Source organism: Homo sapiens, chromosome 7 (genome assembly GCF_000001405.40).
Source record: "Homo sapiens chromosome 7, GRCh38.p14 Primary Assembly".
In the NCBI taxonomy this organism is placed as follows: Eukaryota; Metazoa; Chordata; class Mammalia; order Primates; family Hominidae; genus Homo; species Homo sapiens.
The window spans coordinates 10,695,472-10,720,657 of NC_000007.14; the positions used below are offsets into that span (position 1 = coordinate 10,695,472).

Genomic DNA, 25,186 nt, shown 5'->3' on the forward strand with positions numbered 1-25,186 from the left:
TGTAGCTATTTATATTGTTGTTTGGAAAACATACCTACTTCAAAGCATTCCAGAAACATAACTTCTAGCTAAGATTTAAACGATATGAGAAAACTACCCTGAATAAAAAAGATGAACCTATTGCTGGCAAGATGGCTGAACAGGAACAGCTCTGGTCTGCAGCTCACAGTGAGATTGACGCAGAAGGCGGGTGATTTCTGCATTTCCAACTGAGGTACCTGGTTCATCTCTTTGGGACTGGTTGGACAGAGGGTGCAACCAACGGAAGGTGAGCAGCAGAGTGGGGCATCACCTCATCCAGGAAGCGCAAGGGGTCAGGGAATTTTCTCCCCTACCCAAGGGAAGCTGTGAGGGTCTGAGCCTGAGGAACTCTGGCACAGATACTGCACTTGTCCTTCGGTCTTTGCAACCCACAAACCAGGAGATTCCTTCCTGTGCCTACCCCACCAGGGCCCTGGGTTTCAAGCACAAAACTGGATGGCCATTTGGGCAGACACCGAACTAGCTGCAGGATTTCTTTTTTTCCATACCCCAGTGGCGCCTGGAACGCCAGTGAGACAGAACTGTTCACTCCCCTGGAAAGGGGTGCTGAAGCCAGGGAGCCAAATGGTCTGGCTCGGCGGGTCCCACTACCATAGAGCCCAGCAAACTAAGATCCACTGGCTTGAAATTCTCACTGCCAGCACAGCAGCAGTCTAAGATCTATGCAGGATTTTCAAGCTTGGTGGGGGAAAGGGTGTCTGTCATTGCTGAGGCTTAAGTAGGCAGTTTTATGCTCACAGCGTAAACAAAGCCACTGGGAAGTTCCAACTGGACGGAGCCTACTGCAGCTCAGCAAGACTGCAGCTAGACTGCCTCTCTAGATTCCCCCTCTCTGAGCAGAACATCTCTGAAAAAAATGGCAGTAGCCCCAGTCAGGGACTTATAGATAAAACCCCCATCTCCCTAGGACAGAGTACCTGGGGAAACGGGTGACTGTAGGCAAAGCTTCAGCAGACTTAAACATTCCTACCTAACAGCTCTGAAGAGAGCAGCAGACCTCCCAGCACAGTGTTCAAGCTCTGCTAAGGGTCAGACTGCCTCCCCAACTGGGTCCCTGACCCCTGTGTATCCTGCCTGGGAGACACCTCCCAGTAGGGGCTGACAAACACCTCATACAGGAGAGCTCTGGCTGGCATCTAGCAGGTGACCCTCTGGGACGAAGCTTCCAGAGGAGAGATCAGGCAGCAATCTTTGCTGTTCCACAGCCTCCACTGGTGGTATCCAGGAAAAACAGGATCGGGAGTAGACCTCCAGCAAACTCCAGCAGACCTGCAGCAGAGGGGACTATCAGAATGATAACTAATAAATGGAAAGGAATAGCATGTCCTCAAAAAGACCCCATCCAAAGGTCATCAACAAAGACAAAAGGTAGAAAAATCCACAAAGATAGGGAGAAACCAGCACAAAAAGGCTGAAAATTCCAAAAACCAGAATGCCTCTTCTCCTCTAAAGGATCACAACTCCTTGCCAGCAAGGAAATGCAACTTGATGGAGAATGAGTTTGACGAACTGACAGAAGTAGGCTTCAGAAGGTGGGTAATAATAAACTCCTCCAAGCTAAAAGAGCATGTTGTAACCCAATGCAAGGAAGCTAAGAACTGTGAAAAAAGGTTAGACAAATAGCTAACTAGAATATGACCAGTGCAGAGAAGAACATAAATGACCTGATGGATCTGAAAAACACAGCATGAGAACTTCAAGAAGCATACACAAGTTCCAATAGGCAAATCGATCAAGTGGAAGAAAGGATATCAGTGATTGAAGATCAATTTAATGAAATAAAGAGAGAAGACAAGATTAGAGAAAAAAGAATAAAAAGGAACGAACACAGCCGCCAAGAAATATGGGACTATGTGAAAAGACCAAATCTACATTTGATTGGTGTACCTGAAAGTGACGGGGAGAATGGAACCAAGTTGGAAAACACTCTTCAGCGTATTATCCAGGAAAACTTCCCCAACCTAGCAAGACAGGCCAACATTCCAATTCAGGAAATACAGAGAATACCACAAAGATACTCCTCGAGAAGAGCAACCCCAAGAGAAATAATCATCAGATTCACCAAGGTTGAAATGAAGGAAAAAATGTTAAGGGCAGCCAAAGAGAAAGGTCGGGATATGCACAAAGGGAATCCCATCAGACTAACAGCAGATCTCTCTGCAGAAACCCTACAAGCCAGAAGACAGTGGGGGTTAATATTCAACATTCTTAAAGAAAAGAATTTTCAACCCAGAATTTCATATCCAGCCAAACTAAGCTTCATAAGCAAAGGAGAAACAAAATCCTTTACAGACAAGCAAATGCTGAGAGACTTTGTCACCACCAGGCCTGCCTTACAAGAGCTCCTGAGGGAAAACACTAAACATGAAAAGAAACAACTGGTACCAACCATGGCAAAAACATACCAAATTATAAAGAACATCGAAACTATGAAGAAACTGCATCAACTAATGGGCAAAACAACCAGCTAGCATCATAATGACAGGATCAAATTCACACATAACAATATTAACCTTAAATGTAAATGGGCTAAATGCCCCAATTAAAAGATGCAGACTGGCAAATCTGATAAAGAGTCAAGACCCATCAGTGTGCTGTATTCAGGAGACCCATCTCATGAGCAAAGACACACACAGGCTCAAAATAAAGGAATGGAGGAATATTTACCAAGTAAATGGAGAGCAAAAAAGCAGGAGTTGCGATCCTAATCTCTGATAAAACAGACTTTAAACCAACAAAGATCAAAAGAGACAAAGAAGGCCATTACATAATGGTAAAGGGATCAATGCAGCAAGAAGAGCTAACTATTCTAAATATATGTGCACCTAAGACAGGAGCATCCAGATTCATAAAGCAAGTTCTTAGAGACCTACAAAGAGACTTAGACTCCCACACAACAATAGTGGGAGACTGTAACACTGCACTGTCAATATTAGACAGATCAACAAGACAGAAAATTAACAATGATATTCAGGACTTGAACTCAGCTCTGGACCAAGTGGACCTAATAAACAGCTACAGAACTCTCCACCCCAAATCAACAGAATATATATCCTTCTCAGCACCTCATCGCACTGATTATAAAATTGACCACATAAATGGAAGTAAAACACTCCTCAGCAAATGCAAAAGAACAAAAATTATAAAAAACAGTATCTCACACCATAGAGCAATCAAAATAGAACTCAGAATTAAGAAACTCACTCAAAACCACACAACTACATGGAAACTGAACAACCTGCTCCTGAGTGATTACTGGGTAAATAACGAAATTAAGGCAGAAATAAAGATGTTCAGTGAAACCAATGAGAATGAAGACACAACATACCAGAATCTCTGAGACACATTGAAAGCATTGTGTAGAGAGAAACTTATAGCACTAAATGCCCAGAAGAGAAAAGCAGCAAAGATCTAAAATTGACACCCTAACATCAAAATTTAAAAAACTAGAGAAGCAACAGCAAACAAATTCAAAATCTAGCAGAAGACAAGAAATAACTAAGATCAGAGCAGAACTGAAGGACATAAAGACACAAAAAACCCTTCAAAAAAAATCAAAGAATCCAGGAGTGGATTTTTCAAAAAGATCAACAAAATAGATAGAATGCTAGCCAGACTACTGAAGAAAAGAGAGAAGAACCAAATAGATGCAATTAAAAATGATATAAGGGATATCACCACTGATCCCACAGAAATACAAACCACCATCAGAGAATACTAGAAACACCTCTATGCAAATAAACTAGAAAATAGAAGAAATGGATAAAATCCTGGACACATACACTCTACCAAGTCTAAACCAGGAAGAAGTCAAATCCCTGAATAAACCAATAACAAGTTATGAAATTGAGGCAGTAATTAATAGCATACCAACCAAAAAAAGTCCAGGACCAGATGGATTCACAGCCAAATTCTACCAGAGGTACAAAGAGGAGCCGGTACCATTCCTTCTGAAATTATTCCAAACAATAGAAAAACAGGGAATCCTTCCTAACTCATTTTGTGAGGCCAGCATCATCCTGACACCAAAACCTGGCAGAGACACAGCAAGAAAAGAAAATTTCTGGCCAATATCCCTGATGAACAATGATGTGAAAATCCTCAATAAAACACGGGCAAACTGAAACCAGCAGCACATCGAAAAGCTTATCCACCACAATCAAGTCAGCTTCATTCCTGTGATGCAAGGCTGGTTCAACATATGCAAATCAATAAACGTAATCCATCATATAAACAGAACCAATGACAAAAACCACATGATTATCTCAATGGATGCAGAAAAGGCCTTCAACAAAATTCAACACCGCTTCATGCTAAAAACTCTCAATAAACTAGGTATCGATGGAACGTACCTCAAAATAATAAGAGCTAATTATGACAAACCCACAGCCAATACCATACTGAATGGGCAAAAACTGGAAGCATTCCCTTTGAAAACCAGCACAAGACAAGGATGCCCTCTCTCACCACTCCTACTCAACATAGTATTGGATTTTCTGGCCAGGGCAATCAGGCAAGAGAAAGAAATAAAGGGTATTCAAATAGGAAGAGGGGAAGTCAAATTGTCGCTGTTTGCAGATGACATGATTGTATATTTAGAAAACCCCATAGTCTCAACCCCAAATCTCCTTAAGCTGATAAGCAACTTCAGCAAAGTCTCAGGATACAAAATCAATGTGCAAAAATCACAAGCATTCCTATACACCAATAACAGATAAACAGAGCCAAATCATGAGTGAACTCCCATTCACAATTGCTACTAAGAGAATAAAGTACCTAAGAATACAACTTCCAAGGGATGTGAAGGACCTCTTCAAGGAGAACTACAAACCACTGCTCAAGCAAATAAGAGAAGACACAAACAAATGGAAAAACATTCCATGCTCATGGATAGGAAGAATCAATATTGTGAAAATGGCCATACTGCCCAAAGTAATTTAGAGATTCAATGCTATCCCCACCAAGCTATCACTGACTTTCTTCAGAGAATTGGAAAAAACTACTTTAAACTTCATATGGAACCAAAAAGAGTGTGTATAGCCAAGACAATCTGGGCAAAAAGAACAAAGCTGGAGGCATCATGCTACCTGACTTCAAACTACACTATAAAGCTACAGTAAACAAAACAGCACGGTACTGGTACCAAAACAGATAAATAGGCCAATGGAACCGAATAGAGGCCTCAGAAATAACACCACACATCTACAACCATCTGATCTTTGGCCAACCTGACACAAACAAGCAATGGGGAAAAGATTCCCTATTTAATAAAAGGTGTTGGGAAAACTGGCTAGCCATATGCAGAAAACTCAAACTGGACACCTTCCTTACACTTTATATAAAAATCGACTCAAGATGGATCAAAGACTTAAATGTAAGACCTAGGACCATAAAAATCCTAGAAGAAAATCTGGGCAATACCATTCAGGACATAGGCACGGGCAAAGACTTCATGTCTAAAACACCAAAAGCAATGGCAACAAAAGCCAAAATTGACAAATGGGATCTAATTAAACTAAACAGCTTCTGCACGGCAAAAGAAACTATCATCAGAGTAAACAGGCAACCTACAGAATGACAGAAAATTTTTGCAATCTATCCATCTGACAAAGGGCTAATATCCAGAATCTACAAAGAACTTAAACAAATTTACAAGAAAAAACAACCCCATCAAAAAGTAGTCAAAGGATATGAAGAGACACTTCTCAAAAGAAGAAATTTATGTAGCTGACATATGAAAAAATGCTCATCATCACTGGCCATTACAGAAATCAAATCAAAACCACAATGAGATACCACCTCATGCCAGTTAGAATGGCAATCATTTAAAAAGTCAGGAAACAACAGATGCTGGAGAGGATGTGGAGAAATAGGAATGCTTTTACACTGTCAGTGGGAGTGTAAATTAGTTCAACCATTGTGAAAGACAGTGTGGCGATTCCTCAAGGATCTAGAAGCAGAGATACCATTTGACCCAGCAATCCCATTACTGGGTATATACCCCAAGGATTATAAATCATTCTACTATAAAGGCACATGCACATGTATGTTTATTGTGGCACTGTTCACAATAGCAAAGACTTGGAGCCAACCCAAATGTCCATCAATAATACACTAGATAAAGAAAATGTGGCACATATACACCACGGAATACTATGCAGCCATAAAAAAGGATGAGTTCATGTCCTTTGCAGGGACATGGATGAAGCTGGAAACCATCATTCTCGGCAAATTATCACAAGAACAGAAAACCAAACACCTCATGTTCTTATGCATAAATGGTAGCTGAACAATGAGAACACATGGACATAGGGAGGAGAGCATCACACACCGGGGCCTGTCGTGGGGTGGGGGGCTAGGGGAGGGATAACATTAGGAGAAATACCTAATGTAGGTGACGGGTTGATGGGTGCAGCAAGCCACCATGGCAAGTATATACCTATGTAACAAAACTGCACATTCTGCACATGTATCCCAGAACTTAAAGTATAATAAAAAAAAAGATGAACCTTAAAACTATCATGAGGGCCAAAACTGCTTATAGATTGTACATGTAGTCATGTACTACATAATGATGTTTCACCCAGTGACCGCATATAGGATGGTGATTCCATAAGATTATAATGGAGTTGAAAAATTCCTATTGCCTATTGACATCCTAGCCATCTTAAGATTGTAGCACAACACATTACTCATGTGTTTGTGTCGTGGCTGGTGTAAACACACCTATTGTGCTGCCAGTTTTATAAAAGTATAGCACATACAATTATGCACTACATAATACTTGATAATAAATGACTATGTACTGGTCTATATATTTACAGTACTATATATTTTATCATTATTTTAGAGTGCATTCCTCCTACTTATTAAAAAAACAGTTTACTGCAAAACAGTATGACATCTTACACCAGCAGCAGCCTCATACAGCTCATGTTTATTGCATCTCTTGTTTGCAACATTTTCTCTTTTGCTTGATTTAATCTTGTGTTGTTTTGTTGGTTGTGGCTCCTAAGCATATAAAATCCACTGCTGATGTTGCCAGTAAGAGGCCACATCAAATGTCTGACTTGGAAACAAAATTACAAGTGATTAAGGGCCATTAAGGTGGAAAGTCAGTGGCGGTTATTGCTCACTAGTCAAGCACGTTCTATTCCACCATAGCTATGATCTTGAAGAACAAGAACAAAGTAACAGAAACTGTTAAAAGATCTGCTTCACTGAAGGCAACAAGACACAAATTTCAGGAAGGGCCTATATCAGGTAAGAAGAAATTTGTAATGACCTGGATTAAGGACCAGACAGAAAAGCATATCCCTCTCAGGACCATAACAATCATGTCTACAGCAAAAAGTTTGTTTGCTATGTTAAAAGAAAAGGCTGGGCCTGACTAGGATGTTGAATTTACTGCTAGCTCTGTGTGGTTTAAATGATTCAAGAATCATTATTTATTACATAATGTGAATATGAGTGGTGAGTCTGCAAGTGTTAATGAAAAGGCAGCTGAAGAATTTTTGGAAACACTACATAAGCTGACTGTGGAAGAAAATTACTTACCAGAGAAAATCTTCAATATGAATGAAACCTGCTTATGAATGCCTGAGAGGACTTTCATCCATGAGAAAACTAAGTCAGTGCCAGGGTTTAAGCTTTCTATGACAAGATAACAGTCTTGCTGGGGGCAATGTTGCAGGCCACGAATTGAAACCTTTCGTAATCTGGCACAGTGAGAACATGAGGGCCTTCCAGCATGTCAATAAGCATACATGGCCTTTGTACTACAAAGCAAAAAGAAGTAACGGATGACCCAGCTCCTCTTCCAAGATGGCCTCCTGAATTCCTATGCCAGTTAAATAAAAGAGTACTGTTTGGAGATAATATACCTTTCAAGATTTTGCTTATTGTTCATAATGTTCCTGCACATCTTCCTTTCACTGGTGATTATCACAATGTCAAAGTGGTGTTTTCGCCTCTAAACACCAGCTCTTTGATCCAACCAATGGATCAAGAAGTAATAGCAGCTCTTAAGGCTGCTACCTGAAGAGGACATTATCTGCTTACAAGCAAATCTATGATGAAAAAAAGAAACAGATCAAACAAATCACTGCCATAGACATATTTCTGAAAAGAGTAACATCTCCTCAAAAAGAGCCTCAGGCAAGTCCTTCAGGAGGTATTCCAGAAGAACGCATTGTTACCACAGGAGATGACAGCTCTATGTGTGTTACTGCCCCTGAAGACCTTTCACTGGGACAGGATGTGGAGGCAGAAGACAGTGATACTGATCATCCTGACCCTGTTAGACCTAGGCTAATGTGTGTGTTTGTGTCTTGGTTTTTAATTAAAAAGTTTGAAAAGTAAAATAAATAAATAGATAAATTTTTAAATAGAGAAAAGTTTATAGAATAAGGATATAAAGAAAATATTTTTGTACAACTATACAATATGTTTGTGCTTTAAGTGTTATTATAAAAGAGTCAAAAAGTTTAAAAAATTTTTAAAGTTTATAAAGTAAAAATGTTACAGTGAGTTAAGGTTAATTTATTTGTAAAGAAAAAATTGTTTTCATAATTTTAATGTAGCCTAAGTATACAGTGCTTATAAAGCCTACAGCAGTGTACAGTAATGTCCTAGGCCTTCACATTCACTCACCCACTCATTCACTGACTCACCCAAGGAAATTTCCAGTCCTGCAAGCTCCATTTATAGTAAGTGCCTGAGACAGGTGTATCATTTTTTATCTTTCGTACCATACTTTACTGTACCTTTTCTGTATTTAGATATGTTTAGATAAATACTTACCATAATGTTACAAATGCCTCTAGTACTCAGTAAAATAACATGCTGTATAGATTTGTAGTGTAGGAGCAATAGGCTATATACCATATTGTCTAGGTGTGTAGTATGCTCAATCATCTAGATTTGTGTAAGTACACCCTATGATGTTCACACAACCATGAAATTACCCAATGATGCATTTGTCAGAACATATCCCCATTATTAAGTGACACACATTAATGTAATACATGTGCACAGATATATATCTGTAGTTTAACAGATTTAGTAGTTATTAGATTTTGAGAGACATACATTGACCCAATGTAAAGCTAAATCCACATTATAGTATACAAAATAATATAATTTTAATCCATATTTAAAGGTTATTTGATGTCTTCAATCTGCAATGGCAAAGATAACTATTCTTTTCAATTTCAACTTGTTTTCCTGTTTAGTCATTTAACTAAGCTAAATTGAAAGTCTTCTGTGTGCCTGCCTGTGGTAGGTACTAGGACTATGAAGTTGGCACCCGCACTCAAGTAGCCTTCTGTAGGCGGGAAGGCGTGGGAATCAGCACCGCCAGAGAGCACTGCAAGCATCACTCTGGAGCCAAAGAAGGGGCAGCTCAACCAGACTACAGAAGTCAGAAAAGCCTGATTCTTGCAGGCTAAGCATGGAGTTTTCAAGATGAAAGGATGGAGTTATCTGACCTTCCTCTCCCTACATACTCTGAATTCCCTATACAAATCTGCTCAAAAGTGTGGTCTGTGGACTGGGACTTGCCAACAACTATTTCTGGTTCAACATTAAGTACAGAAATTAAGAGCAAGCCTTTAGAACCTTTTATATCAATTTGATAGAGTATTTATAAGTCTGTTGAATCTAGCAATAAAAAGTTAGGGTTTGTATTTTCTATCCATTTTTCTGTTTCTTTAGGCTAATAATTCATTTTATTTCATTAAAACAAACTATTGGTCTGTGATGAATTGAAAACTTAAAAAAAATCTCTGCTGAAAACTTGTGTCCACACAAAAACCTGCACACATTGTTTATAGCAGTTTTATTCTTAACTACCAAAACTTAGAAACAACCAAATGCCCTTCAGTAAGTGAATGAATAAACTGTGGTACATCCAGACAATGGAATATTATTCAGTGCTAAAAAGAAATAAACTAACAAGCCATGAAAAGACATGGAGGAAACTTAAATGCATATAATTATGTGAAAGAAGTCAATCTGAAAGGCTACATACTGTATGATTCCAACTATATGACATTCTGGGAAAGGCAAAACAATGAAGACAGTAAAAAGGTCAGTGGTTGCCAGAGGTTAACAGGGAGGAAGGAATGAATAGATGGTATATAAAGGATTTTTTAGGGCACTGCAACTATTCTGTATGGTATTATAACAGTGAATACATGTGATTATACACTTGACAAAATCCATAAAATGTCCAATATCAAGAGTGAACACCAAGAGTAAACTATGGACTTTGGGTGATAATGATGTATCAAGATGGGTTCATCGACTGTAGTAAATGCACCTCTCTGCTGTGGAATGTTGAAGGCTGGGGAAGTCTGAAGGTTGGGGAGTATATGTGGATAAGGGAATATGGGAAATCTCTGTACCTTCCACTGAATCTTTCTGTGAACCGAAAATTGAAGTCTATGAAAAGAAAAGCTGGTTCTTTCCCACAATTTGTTTAAGTGATACTGCTTTATTTTCATTACTCTTCTACCTCAAACTCTACCAGGTCCTCTGACCATATGAAATGTCATGGTAACTCCTTGTGAGACCCAAGAAATACGAGGTGGTAGGGACAATTATTCACTGCAGGCTGTAACGCTTCTTGTAAAAATTGAGAGGTAAAAATTCAAATATATAGAAATATATTACATAAGATATTAAAGGCCGTAACTCCATTCCCCAGGCACAACAAAAATCGTTAATATAACTAATATCACTCCACTGTTTTTGTGAGACTATATTATGTATACTCATTTGCAACTTTCCAACTCGCACATTTTCCTATGCAAATACAGAAGGATAACTGTAAAGACATAACATTTATTGAGTGTCTACTAGATACCAGAAAATGTTCTAAAAACTTTATAAGGTATTATTCATTTGCTTTATGAAACTCTATAAAGTAGATACTATTGTTATGCCCATTACACAGACGAAAAAGCTGAGGTGCAGATATAAAGTATTTTGTTCAATTTCTCACAGATAATTAAGTGGCAGATCTCAGAAATCAAAATATATATGATTCTACTTCATTCTTATTAATGACTAGTTAGCATTCCTATTTTGTAAAGTTAACAATTCCTATTTTAATAGGCATTTGGATTATTTTGTTACTTTACTACCAGAAGTAATGTTGCAACATCTTCTACATGTCACTTTATTCACTAATATTAGTATTTCCATACAATAAATTCCTAAATATGGAACACTAGTTCAAAGGGTTTAATACATTTCAGTTATAACAGATATTGGCAAATTGTCCTCCACAATAAGAGGAGTATCAATTGACACACTATTATCAATTGTGTATTAGGATTATCAGTTATTTATCCTTTATGAATACCATATATTATCATTTAAAAATTTTTTTCAACCAGAGAATCAAAACTGCTCTATTATTGTTATAGAAATCTTAAAGTTGCCTTATAAAGATTTGATTTTTTTGGAGATGGTTGTGTATGGCATCTGGGTTGATGAGTCAAATTCTTCTTTCTCACTTCCCCTTCTGCTCCACCTGCAGAAAGAAGGAACGGACGCACACCTCCCCAAGGAGCCCTGGCACTAACTACAACACACACAGGGTTTGGCCAGACCTGGACCAGCTTTTGGAAAACACTAACTCAACTGTCATCCAACTTGCTGCAGTTAACCACCCGTCAGTCACCCATCAGGGGGCATGAAGCTCTGGTTTGATCACTTTGCTAAGGGCTGCACAAGGAAGAAAAAAAGTCATAAAACACTATATTGTCAAGCAGTACTCACTGCTTCTCCTCTTCACTGTCCTCTACCTTGAGTCCCTCAAAATATTTCACCTGCATGACATTTCTTCACTTGAGATGCTGTTTGCCCTTTAAATGGCATCTTAGCATTTGAGGTCCTCTAGCTGTCTTCTTTCTTTTCCTTAGGCTGACAATTCTGCTGAAAGTTTGTGAAAAGACTTGACATTCACAAAATCTAAGGTCTTCTGGTGATACCAAATGTAACAGGAATGGAAGCATCATCAGCACTGTGCAACATTATGTTTCTTTAGCATGGTTTGGCTCAGGTTACAAAACCTGGGCAGCTGTACCACAGACAGAGGCTATGGCCATTTCCCCTCTATTTTATGATCATCCCTGTTTCATTACTTTGTGCTTTCACTACATCCTGGCCTAGCAGTCTGTAGCAGCAGGCTAGAGAGATAAGGCCTTCTGGTAATAAATAAAGTAGAAGGTTAAAACCACAAAAAAGGGAATGTGGGAAATTGTGATGACAAGGCCATATGTTTAGCCTTGGATATGTGCTCTAAGAGTAGCTGGGAGCCTTTTTACCCTCTTTTAAGAGGACTTCGCATTTACACTCTATCATCCAAACATTCATAAATGCATATGCTCACAGCCAGAGAATGAGACTATTTGACAGCACCCTTTTCTTATTAAGTGCAAATGACAGACACATGCAAGTGGCCTCCACTCAAGACACAATGCTATACAATTCTGATTGTACTGAGGAAATAAATTAGAAAAATGTAAATTTACTGATAATTAGCCACAAATAGGATTACCCTCTCTACTCACCTTAGAACTCAAACGTATAGATAACAAAGTTCCTCAAAGGGGTGAGACAAAAAGAGGTGGGAGGTAAATTGAAACATATTTATCTAATTGAACAATTTGACCAATTGATAAATATGGAGTAGGGAGAAATCCTTGCTAGCATCCACTATATGATCTTTGACACACATTGGCTTTCATCACAAGTGCAGAAAAAAAAAATCCCCATAATAAATGATACCTAATTTTACTTTTCATTCAAGCCCTTAATTTTAAATACGGATCTAAATTCCATTGTTAAGGAAGCGTATTACAATAATTATTTAGGAAATGAGAGAATAATGAAAGAAAATTTTAAATCTCTTTCCTATGCACAAAGGAAAATATTTTTAATACAGATTAATATTTAGGATTTTTATCCTATGCAGCTCAATTTTTTCATATCTTTTTTTCCTGACCACCTCAACACACTGCTTTTGCATGATTAAGAGAAAAACAAATCGAGGTTGGACAAAAGCTACAAATGAAAGGAGTGGCTTGAATAACATAAGATGTATTTACTAAAGCACGAAAGCTCCCCCTTGTGATACGAAGTGACCAGCCAGGAGGGAGCAGGGACTTGTCTGGCTGTCAGGTGAGCATTTGAAGTATTACTCGCTGTATCTTATTATTGGTATTTAATTGACTCAGTTCTCCTTCAACCACAGGTAAGTAACTATAGAACCCAACGAGTCTAGATAAAAGTGATTAAAAAGAACTGCAAGCATTTTATAGAAACCACAATAAATTCCAAATGGATTAAAGATTTAAATGTAATAAATTATATAATGAAATTTTGATGGATAATTTTATATTTGACTGGGGAAGGACTTTCTAAACAGGATATCAAAATCACAAGCCATAAAAGATGCCACTAGATTTTTCACATAAAATTCCTAAACTTCACCTAAATTAAATTCCTTAAACTAAATTAAAACTAAGAAAAACAAAATTGCGATATATACAACAGGCCAATAGCGCATACACTTATGAAAGAATGAGCTCTTAAACTTTTTTAAGGAAGAAACAACACACCATTTTGGCTAATAAGCACACTAAGATACATCAAACTTTATTGGTAATAAAGAATAAAAGTTACAAATTAAAAGACCAATGAGATAGTATTTTTTTTCATGTACCTACCATCTTGGCTAAGATTTAAAAGAATAATGCCCAATGCTTAGTATGCAGAAATAGACACTTTAATACATAGGAGTATATTTACACATGCAAGTTTCCTGGGGGCCTGGGAGGAATCTAGTAATATATATAAAAATTGAAATAGGCATATTCCTTTAACCAGAAATGCAATCTCTACAAATTTATCAGACAAACATGTGAGCATAACTAAGCAACAAATATCCAAAAAGTATTGCTTATAGTAATGAAGTATTGCAAGCAATAGTAAATGTTTATTGTTTCAAATTTGGTAAATAAATTAATCCATTTTTACAAATTAATACTTTGCAGCTATTAAATACAATGATATCATCTATGCTTTACGATTCCATTAAATGTACAGAATATAATTATTAAGTGAAAAAGCAAATATTAAATATTATAAAGTTTTTTTAATGTTTTATGTATATTTAAAATTCTAATAAATTCATGCTTTCACATGAAGAATTATTATCCTGGGGAAAGAAGGGCGGGAGCTTGATGAGGGAGCTTATTTAACCAGTGATTTTTATTTTTTTGATAGACTTCTCTGTTTTCTATGTTTTATGTAATATACATAAATAACTTTTATAACAACAAAAATTAGTTTTTCTTAAAAATATAAACAAATCCTTATTTTGGACTTTTTTTTTCACCATGACTGCTTTTTGAAGACTTCAGATACTGAATTTGAAACAGCATAGAAATAAACAATGGGTTTTTTTAAATCTGTGTTTTGACTATTCCTAACTCTGAAGGAAGTACATTCTAGCAGTTGGTCCTGAATATAAATAACCATAGCTAAAATAAAACTTTTAGAGTAGACTTCTGAAATTATTTCCTCCAATTATTCCATCTTACAGACAGAAATTTTAAATTTGGGTAGATAATATGTCTTTGCAAAGTCACAAAGCAGTGGGCAGTAGACCAGAATGAAAATGCAGATACCCTCCCTCCTTAATCAACTTCCCTTTGTGTGACTGAAAACTTCCACTTTTGTGACTTTTATTGCATGAGTTTTCAAACAAATTTTTAAAGTAGTTCTCATAGCATGCTAGTGTTATCTTGAACAATGACATAAATAATGAAACTGACTGCATAGTCTGCATTCCCTTATTAGTAAGGATATACCCAAACTATCCATGACCCAAATGTGCCATTTATCAAAATAATCATGATGATGATTATATCCTACCATAGAGCTACTGCAATGTGCGAGCCACCATGTTAATGCTTTATATGCATTCTTTCATTTAATTTTTATAACTTAGATAGAAATTCTTATTATCTGCATTTTATTGATGAGAAAACAAAGTCTTAGAAGAGTGACTTAACCAACATCATAGAGCTAGTGTGACATTCTATTACAGCACCTCCTTGGTGTATCTGACTCCCAGATTTAAAAATAAAAGACTTCTCCATTGCTCCTTAAATTGCTTCATAAAGACGGCCAAAGATTCAAGACATATCACATGTCTTCATGATAGTGGATTAAAACGAAGCACCATTTTCATAATGTCCAACATATTATAACATATGATACGCCATGTTGCAATACATTTCCATGCCTCCTTTAAAAATGGTCTCATAAATAATGTGTTAATCTATAACTAACCTCTGCAGTAGACCTAGAACCACTGACCCATCTCATACTTACCAAAAGACAGCAAGTCTTTCCTAAACTGTCTGCGACAACTTAAGAAAAAGTGGTGAGAATATCAATAAATTATCATATAGCACATGTTCAATTATGTTCAGACACTGATTTAAAATAAGTAATAGAAGTAAATCTTTAGTAGATCTGCCTTTACTAAATTTTGCTGTAAATCTCCCTTCTTCCTCATTTATTTGCTCTTTTAGTTACATTCTTCTTACATGCTTCCTTATTAATTTCTCTTTCAATCATTCTGTTTATGTTTACCTGCTGAAGTCTTAAATTGAACTCTTGTTATTTTCCCATCAATCATATTGTAGGTTCCATGTACCATTCACTCACCCAATCCTTCACAAGAAGTATCCCTGGTAAGCAGCACAGATGAGTAGTGAAGGAAAACAGGAGAGAGGAACCATTGCAGCAATGCTAAATAAGCTGGAATTTAGAGATTGATCTCAGTAAATCAGCTAGAGATGAAAGTAGAATGCGAGTCATGCCTCCTTCTCCCTAAGTTTAGATGAAGGCATCACAGGGGCAGGGACATTAAGCAAGAAGAAAGCCAGGAAGAACCTGGAGGCATTTTTAGATGTGGTGGCCAAGCCTCTCCTTCAGTTTTCTGAGGGCTCTTTCCTTTTAGACACCTTTGCCCTGGAAAATACGGTGAAAAAACAAGGGTCAACTTGCATAGGGCTTATTTTATGACTAAGGGAAAAAGAAAGGGGAGAAGACTTTCAAGGCCAATCAATTTACCAGGATAAAAAATGAGAAAGAAACCGTAGCTACTAAGCAATAAGCATTATCCACTTACACACTTAATCAGGGTTAACTCCTGGGAGGAAGTTGGAATACATTCCAGTGTTGTATCAATGGCAGGAGCAAAATGAAACCAAGTAGGAGGAAAGTAGCCAGTGGGAGTGAGAGGTGTCTTGAATATATGTGGGATTCCTGGGACTAAGGAGAGGAAGAGAAAGATAGTAGTAAAATGTGATAAAGTGTAAATAAAGATCAGATGCTAGAGCCAGCTAACCCAGACTCAAATCCTCCCTCTTGCCCTAACCAGTTGTGTTTTTGTGAGTAATCTTGAGCATTGAGCTAACATTCTCTGAGCTTCAATGATTTTCCTTACATAAAGAAGCTAACAATACCTACCTGGAAAAATAATACATAATCTATGTAAAATGCCTAGCATACATAGGGCCTGACACCTAGAATATAATCATAGTGGGATTTTCCTGCTGCTCTAGATTGCTAATTTGCATTTAAGGTTGCAAAATTTGACAAACAACAATACAGGATGCCAAGTTTAATTTCAGTTATAGATAACTAGGTATAAATTCTCCAGTATAAGTGTGACCCATGCAATATTTAGGACATACTTATCTTAAAAATTTCCCCTTATCTTAAATTCAAATTTAACTGCACATTAATTTTATCTGGCAGCTCTACAAGCTGCATTCAAAGTTGGAGGAAAACAAGTCATGATATCATACCTTTTTAAAGGACCTACAAGCAATTGAGGGCCAGAAGTTCCCTCCAAGACTCACGAGGAACCAAGACAAACTGGCTGTGCTACCCCTAGCCATCACTCACACATCCAACGCACCTCTCTCCCGACTCTGGAGAGTTGGAGAAACTACTGTAGGGAAATATGTGGAAATAAGGAATTTCCAGACTAGGAAGAGGGTAGTTTTCACCTCTCCCTGCAAATCAAGTGGGAGCATCTCCTTCCCCGGGTTGGATGAGTTTGTTATGTACCTGAGTTGTTGACATGCCGTATGAAATAGCAGAGTTTTGGGTCATGATAGAGATGTTTGAGTTTCCTGTCGGTCACGTGAACACTTCAGAAGGCAGGGAGACCCCAAGTGAAGGAATTTGGAGGGGTCCCGAGAGTTCAAACCAGAGCAGGCTTGCTTGAATCACATTCAGTGGAGTGATGAGGCTCCAACTGACCGTCTGAAGAATTCACAAATGACTCTCACATGAGAGACGGGATTTAGATGCCCATTATGCAGACAGCTGTGACAGCCAGTTGATGTTAAACACAGAAGCCTCAACAGACAGGTCTACAGCAGTCAGGTAAATGAAAACATTTATAACTCTTCTAACTCCTACCACTAAACACACCAGAGGGATCCAGGAGGTAGGGGAGAGGAAAGGAAGGAGAAGAGCACAACTCTTCCCTCTCCAAGTCCTGGCTGAATCCTCACAAGTGCTGAGGTGATGATGACAAGGCCTAAGTTCAGTATTTAGACTGCGCTAAATTTTTTTATATGTAGTCCCCCCACCTTATCCACGGTTTCACTTTCACAGTTGCAGTTACCCACTCTCAGTTGTGGTACAAAAATACATGAGTACCATATCCCAAGATATTTTGAGACAGACTACACTGACATAACTGTAATTATAGTATATTGTTAGAATTGTTTTATTATTAGTTGTTGCCAATCTCTGTGCCTAATTTATAAATTAAAGTTTATCATAGATACGTATGTATAAGAAAAAACAGTATATATATATAGTTGGTACTCTCTGCGGTTTCTGGTATCCACTGAGGTCTTGGAGTATGTGCCCCAAGTGTAAGTGGGGTCTACTATACTCAAGAGATACCAGAAAACCTAGGATCCACCCAAAATAACATGAAAGATGACAGGGAAGAGGAAGTTTGACCATTTATTCAAACATGTTTATGTTTGAAATAGTAATTGAAAAATAAAATTGCTTCATATCTGGGCCCTTACTAAATCAGACTCCTAGCTGACAATAGGTCTTCACAGGATAGAAAGGTCAACTCAGATTCCATGCGGGAGTTTAAATCTAAGAGCTCCTTAAATAAAACTACTAGGCTCTGAAGGGGCAGGCTGGTGAAGTGGATGAAGTTGAGGCACATTTCAATTGATATATAAAGGCATCAGTTTAATTGCATTACAATAAAGATGAAAAGTGCCAGGACTTGGTGAAAGCCTTATAATTAACAATGAGATACAAGCTGACTTCAGCCACAAGGTCCACTGTTGGGTTTTGGAGATACCTAGGACCAGGGCACCCTGGTAAGACAAAGTGGCTTTACCATGGAGTTACACTTGGGATTCTGCCCTCCAATTTAGTGTCTCTGAGATATAAAATTATAGCATCTCAAGGAAAAGAGCATGGGAAAGCCATTTCAAAGCTGGTGAATGTTCCAGTTCCAGTGTCGGCTGAATTGCCATGGCAACACGATGGACAGTTGCATGGTGCCCATTTCCAGGCAGGTAGCAGAGCTGGGGGGGCAGGCATCTGCCTTGCCCATCTTAGATACAGAGTCTCACTATGTTGCCCAGGCTGGTCCCAAACTCCTGGGCCTTAAGAGATCCTCTTGCCTGGGCCTCCCAAAGTGCTGGGATTACAGGCGTGAGCCAGGGGGCCCACCACCTTCTGAGTTTCGAGCCTCATTGGCCTTCCAGCCCACTTAAGCTGTTGGGCCTAAGTAGGTTCAGGAAAGGTTCACTGATTCCAGGTAAATCAGAGGAACAAGCATTGTTAATAGAAATACATAGAAAATGCTATTATGCTGAAGCATAACTGTTGTTTCAGAAGTCTGGCATCTGGTGCACTTAACAATAGAGAATATATTAAATTATTTCCCAAATAAAAGAAAAACAAAAACAAAACTGGTGAATGAAAAAAAGACCTCCTTATATCATTCAGCCTGAGATCCTCTGTAACAGGTAATAGCAGGATAGCTGCCTAGTGGCCTGAGGTTTGCTTCTGACAGCTGTGTAGGCACTTCCTGGAGCCCTTAAAGCAAAGCATGGAGCACAGGAGAGGGAACTGCCACAGAAGTTTCACAGCCTCCTTGCTCATGTCACAAAGTTACCCTTTGCTTTTAGCCCCTAAAACCTTTCTTGTTTAAATTGTGCTTTTGATTTCAGTCCTGTTTATATTCACAATATGTCTTAGCTCTCCATTTGGTAAGTATTTTTTGGAAGTGGCACCAATATCAGATGGCATTTGTCCCCAGAGAAAGATCTGCTTTCTTATTGTTTTGATTAGTTGATACGTATTGAAAACTAACAATATATACCTCAAAGCATGATATATTTATTAGTCCGTTCTCACACTACTGATCAAGACATACCTGAGACGGGAAAGAAAAATAGGTTTAATGGACTCACATTTCCCTGTGGCTGGGAGGCCTCACAATATGGCCAAAGGATAAGGGACTTCCTATGTGGCGGTGACAAGAGAGAATGAGAAAGAAGCAAAAGTGGAAACCCCTTATAAAACCAACAGATTTCACAAGACTTATTCACTACCATGAGAACAGTATGAGGGAAACTGCCCCCATGATTCAATTATCTCCCTCCTACAACACATGGGAATTATGGGAGTACAATTCAAGATGAGATTTCAATTGATATATAAAGGCATCAGTTTAATTGCATTACAATAAAGATGAAAAGTGCCAGGACTCGGTGAAAGCCTTATAATTAACAATGAGATACAAGCTGACTTCAGCCACAAGGTCCACTGTTGGGTTTTGGAGATACCTAGGACCAGGGCACCCTGGTAAGACAAAGTGGCTTTACCATGGAGTTACACTTGGGATTCTGACACAAAGCCAAATCATGTCAATGTAGTATAAATAAACTCAGAATCATAGTTTCTCCGGTTAATAAAATAAGATTTGCTTATCTTCTAAGGGAGTTTGTCAAGTGAAGTTCAAAACTTAAAATACTAAGCCCTGCTGGTAATTTCCATTCAGTTTGTTGATACCTTTTATTAAAAATGAAAAATTAATAAAATAATCTCAAAGCCCCTCTAAAATACTGCCTGCAAAGAATCTGAAAGAGCAAAGGAAGAAAAAAAAACTTCATCCTAATTACAGGATGTAGAAAAACTTGTGCCAATTCTCAGAAGTGTTGAATAGGGCCAGAAGCAAGGATCTGGCTATCTTTGTAATAAGTGCACAGGGGTTTAGGATAATGTTACCAAGTTCCTGGCATATGGAGCATCTAAATAAACAGAATACCCTCAATCCAATTTGCCAGTACTGAGGATTATGTGTGGTGGATATTGTAGACAGAATTCTAAGATGGCCCCAAGATTTCTGCCCCCTGTTGTACAAGTCCTGTATAGAAGCCCCTGGGTGTGGCCAACCTGTATATATGATATGGTCTCTCCCATGATTAATTTAGATTAGGTGGCATGATCGCCTGTGAGAAAGGGACATGATCTAATAAGATGGTCCTTAAAAGTGACTGGGCTTTTCCTGGTGAAAGAGATGTGTGAGAGAGATTGAAGTGTGGAAGGAATTTCAACACAAGGGAGACTTGCTATCGTTGGCCTTGAAGGAAGTGGGACCCACATAGAGGTTACAACTGTAAGGAACTGAATTCTTCCAACACCTGAATGAGTGTGGAAGTGGATTCTTCCCCAGAGCCTCCAACAACGTAGCCCAGCCAACCCTGGTTTTAGCTTATGAGACCCTGAGCAAAAGAGGACCCAATTAATCCTACCTGGACTTCTAAACTACAGAACTGGAGCTGACAAAGGTCTGCTATTTTAAGCCACTAATTTTGTGGTAATTGTGATGTGGCAATAGAAAACGAATACAGGAGACAACAGTTATCACATAAAATTGGTTTGGCAGAAAGGAGGTGATAGTTGAATTAAGCTGAAAAAAGTAAGTCAAAGGATAAAATAACCCTAGTCTAACCATAATAAGAATATTAGAAAGACCAAATTGAGATCTGTGCTACTAAATGCCTGACCAATACTCCTCAAAACTGTCAAGATCATGATCAAGAAGAAAAGAACTGTCACAGACCAGAGGAGTCTGAGGAGCCATATGACTAAATGTAATGTGGTATCCCGAATGGGACCTTGGATCAGAAAAAGGACATTAGTGGAAAAATTGAATAAAGTCTAGAGTTTAAATGTAATATAACTAAACAAACTAACAGAAATCTGCAAAGTGTCATAGAAATATATAATGTAAATGAACTAAATAGTGAGAAAGTAGAAATCTAAATATATATTTTATTTACCATCTCTTAAATGGTGATTTTTTGGTCATACACTAATTAGATAAAATATTACAAAAATAAAGTTTATTGCCACTATTGTTAATAAGCGTGGAACTTCATAGTTCTGGCATACTGATATTTTTCTTTATGGCCTCAGTGGATCCCTAAGGTCAATTCAAAGCAAAATTAAGACGTGGGATATCCATATCCTAAGGCTATTTATACCATTCTTTTGCTAACATAGGTCAGGCAGTGGTCAGAAGATTATAAGATGTCGTCCTCTAATGTGAGCTTCTGATACTTAAGAGATCACTGGAGAATCCACAAGTTTAAAGATTCTCTTCCAGAATGTTTAATGTGCTTTCTAAAGGTGAGCTCAAAGATTTACCTGCAAAGGGGATAAAGATCAGGCCCAGGGTCCTGCAGCAGCCAGCATGACACTATTAACATCAAATGCAAGACATTCCTTATACTGCTTTAATTATCAATGCTAATAGAAGCAGCACAGGGCAATAAATATAGGAATTAAAAGGCAAAGGAAAGCTAGTTTTCATGTTTCATTTTTAAACCATTATATTCCTATTTAAGTGTCCTTGCATGTTCTTTCAGACTAGGTCCTGTTATATTCTACAAAACTCTTACTGAAGCAAAGAAAAGAGGCAGAAGAGGACTAGGTTTTAACTTTTTTTTAATCTTCAATTATTTACTGTCAGCCCTCACAGTAAAAGATCACAAGCTGTGGATACACTGCTCTTCTTTGCCTTGAGATGATAAGGATGTTATCTGATTTTTGAACTGCTATTCATCCACTTGAGAGCATATATATATGACATTGTATTTACAACACAGTTTCAGACACATTGTTTTACTCACAACAAGCCACCCCAAGAGTTAGAAAGGATAGAAATTACTATTTCCTCTATACAGATGAAAAAATTGAAGTTCAGATAGATAAACTGGGTTGACTACCAATGGATTTGAATTAGGGTATTTTGACCACTAATCCAATACTGCTTTGTAAGTAAATGTGCCTTTAGCTTGCTTCTGCTTCCCGTTTGCGTCCCACAGCCACACGCAGTAGGGACTACATGTCATTGCTGGCCGCTGGCTACTGAGGTTCCCCAAAAGTCCAGGCCTTCCTGCTACCATTGCTGACTATGTAAGACCTAACACTCTTCCCTCTTTCCTGAATAAAACTTCAAAATCCTGATCAAGCTTTGTTCTTCTTGCGAAGCGTCTGATTTGTCCCAGGTAGGGCCAAATTCATGGATGGATAACAAGCGCCATTTGGCCCTGGCCTTCACACAAAGGGACTCAACTTTAGACTTCAACCATGTCTCTGAATGAGGCTATATGGACAATCACAGAGATACTCACAATAGAATTTAAACTTGTGTCCAATCTTCAACCACACAACCTACATATACTATACCAACACCTGCGTATCTTCATAAATTCTATAATTACCATTTGAACAATGCATTATATTTTTAAGTGTGAATTTGTTTAAAATAAACATTTAAAATTCACCACCATTTTTGAATCTCTATTTCTACATTACTTCATATTTTTATTTTTAGTAAACACAGAGTTTCAACATATGTAATCGCCATGGCTTATTTCAAATTCTATGAAGCACCCCTTTCAGGGAGATCTATATTCTCCTAAATGGGAGGATGAACAAACAATGGGTAAATGGAGATGCAGAAATTTACACACAGCATGCTCTAAGTGACTTAACACCCTTTTTCCCTTTTTTTTTTTTTTTTTGGAGTCAGTCTTGCTATGGTGCCCAGGTTGGTCTTGAACTCCTGGTTTCAAGTGATCCTTCCATCTCGCCTTTCCAAAATGGTGGGATTACAGGCATGAGCAACTGCACCCGGCCTACTTACCACCTTTTAAAATAAAGAGCTAAGATAGCCAGTAACCCCTCTAATAAACATATTGTTTTTAAAGAAATCATGACAGGAAATGAACAACGCATTTTGAGATGAGGCTGGTTGGTTAGTTCAGAGAACTAACATTTCTCAATTTCAGATATGAGGGAGCCAAATATAACTTGCTTAAAGAAAATGGAAAACAAGAAACAAAAAAGTAGAGTTAATAAAGTGACCTAACAGAAGAGGAGCAAGGTCAGGCTCAGACTTTAGAACAATTCAGACAACTATTTCGCATTTAAAATAATCCGAATACTTTTCTGACCCTTCCCAAAGACCCCCTCCTCAGCCAATTCGTCACTATTCAGCAGCCATGCTTTGTTCCTGTCAACCCAATCTCTGGGTGGTCCCAACTATTTTTTCTTATCTATCTTATGCCCCCATCCCTTCCAGTTTGTGTCATCTCCTAATGAATCCCTTAAGACTCTTTTTCATGCATGGAATTTCTCTCAGAAGGAAAAGCACTTTACTTATTTCATCCTAACAAACTCATAATTATGTGTGCAAATATGTATACAATTATGTGTACAAAATTACTGTGTAACAAATTCACAATTATGTGTGCAATTATATGTACAACTATTTGTACAGAATTATGTATACAATTACTCACAATTATGTGTAGAGAAAACTATCATGGCAGCCCCAAGACATGCCTAAAAAACAACAACAAAATAAAAACGGTAATAACTGTATTCTAGGGATTGATATGTGTTTTATACAGGAAATTATGTTTCCACTTCTACTATCTGCCCTTTTATATCTAACACTGCTTTTCTTATTGGAAACCCGTTTCTCTGAAAATCAGCTACTATAGCTATCACAGGCTGAGATTTAATTTGCATTTATCATGAATAAAGGCACATTTCCCTTCCCTCCCACTGTTTTTAACTGCAAACAATGTACTGTTTTCAACTCTAAGTAATTTGTTTTTCTCTTCTTAATGAAGAAGTCATATTAACTCTTCTGATTTGAAGGTTTTCCTTCTTGAGGAGCAACAGAAATGAAAATTGACCCCAGTCCTCAGGCCTAAGGGCAAAAATAAATACAAGTGCCTGGAACCAAATCCAATGGCCCTACAAGGAACAAGTGTACTTTCTTGTACACCTCTCTCTCATATTATCTATCTCTCTCTTTGTCTTTCTCTCTATCTTTCTCTCAGTCTCGTTTTCACATGATTCAGTTTGTGGGGAAAGACAATATGCTTCATTTAGGCAGATTTCACTGTTCTTTTCATCTAAGAGGCTGGCAGAGAAGGTCAAAATCTAAGAGGACAAGATGGTATAGTTATATGTGGCCAATGGTAATACATGCTGTATAGGCCAAATAGAAATTTTTCTAATGATTGGCAAGACTGATTTAGTAAGCCAAACTCCCCCTAGTGCCTGGATAGAAGCTCATGAGAGCCTCATGGAAGCAACCAGGAAATAATTCTCCTCTTTTCAGTGATGAGGAAATTAATGTCCAAGAAGATTTACAACTCAAACAGGAATCTGTACTCCCAGTTCAGTTTTCCATCTCTTGAGTTAACCTGCCATCAGTCAAGAAGCCACCATTCTAAGAATGAATTTAAATATGCAGAATATCCAAAATCACTCCGAGTGATTGTTGGTTTAGATCATTACCATATATCATTACACAATATTTACTGATGACAGAAAACAGAAAAGGCAGAGAAACCAAAATACCAGCCAAACAAAAGAAGGACATGCAGTCAGTGATTGCATTCTCACCTCATATTTAGATGCTCAGAAGCTCAGCAATAAGCAAGCATGCACCTTAGGCTAGAAGCAG

The 25,186-nt window shown here is 37.9% G+C and overlaps 3 long non-coding RNA genes across 3 annotated transcripts in view; 1 reads left to right on the forward strand and 2 right to left on the reverse strand.

The window, feature by feature from the left end:
- The window catches only part of LOC124900231 (uncharacterized), a 40,219-nt gene extending 32,135 nt beyond the window's left edge, over window positions 1–8,084 (reverse strand). Inside the window, exon 1 of the long non-coding RNA XR_007060210.1 lies at window positions 7,600–8,084. This is a non-coding gene — a long non-coding RNA (uncharacterized LOC124900231). The remainder of the gene's footprint in view (window positions 1–7,599) is intronic.
- MGC4859 (uncharacterized LOC79150) overlaps window positions 1–25,186 on the reverse strand; it is a 330,125-nt gene that overhangs the window by 245,652 nt on the left and 59,287 nt on the right. The gene's annotated exons all lie outside the window — the stretch shown is intronic.
- Window positions 7,205–12,067, forward strand: LOC100131472 (uncharacterized). Its single transcript, NR_149037.1, has 2 exons — window positions 7,205–7,305; window positions 11,588–12,067. It is a non-coding gene; the product is annotated as an uncharacterized LOC100131472 (long non-coding RNA).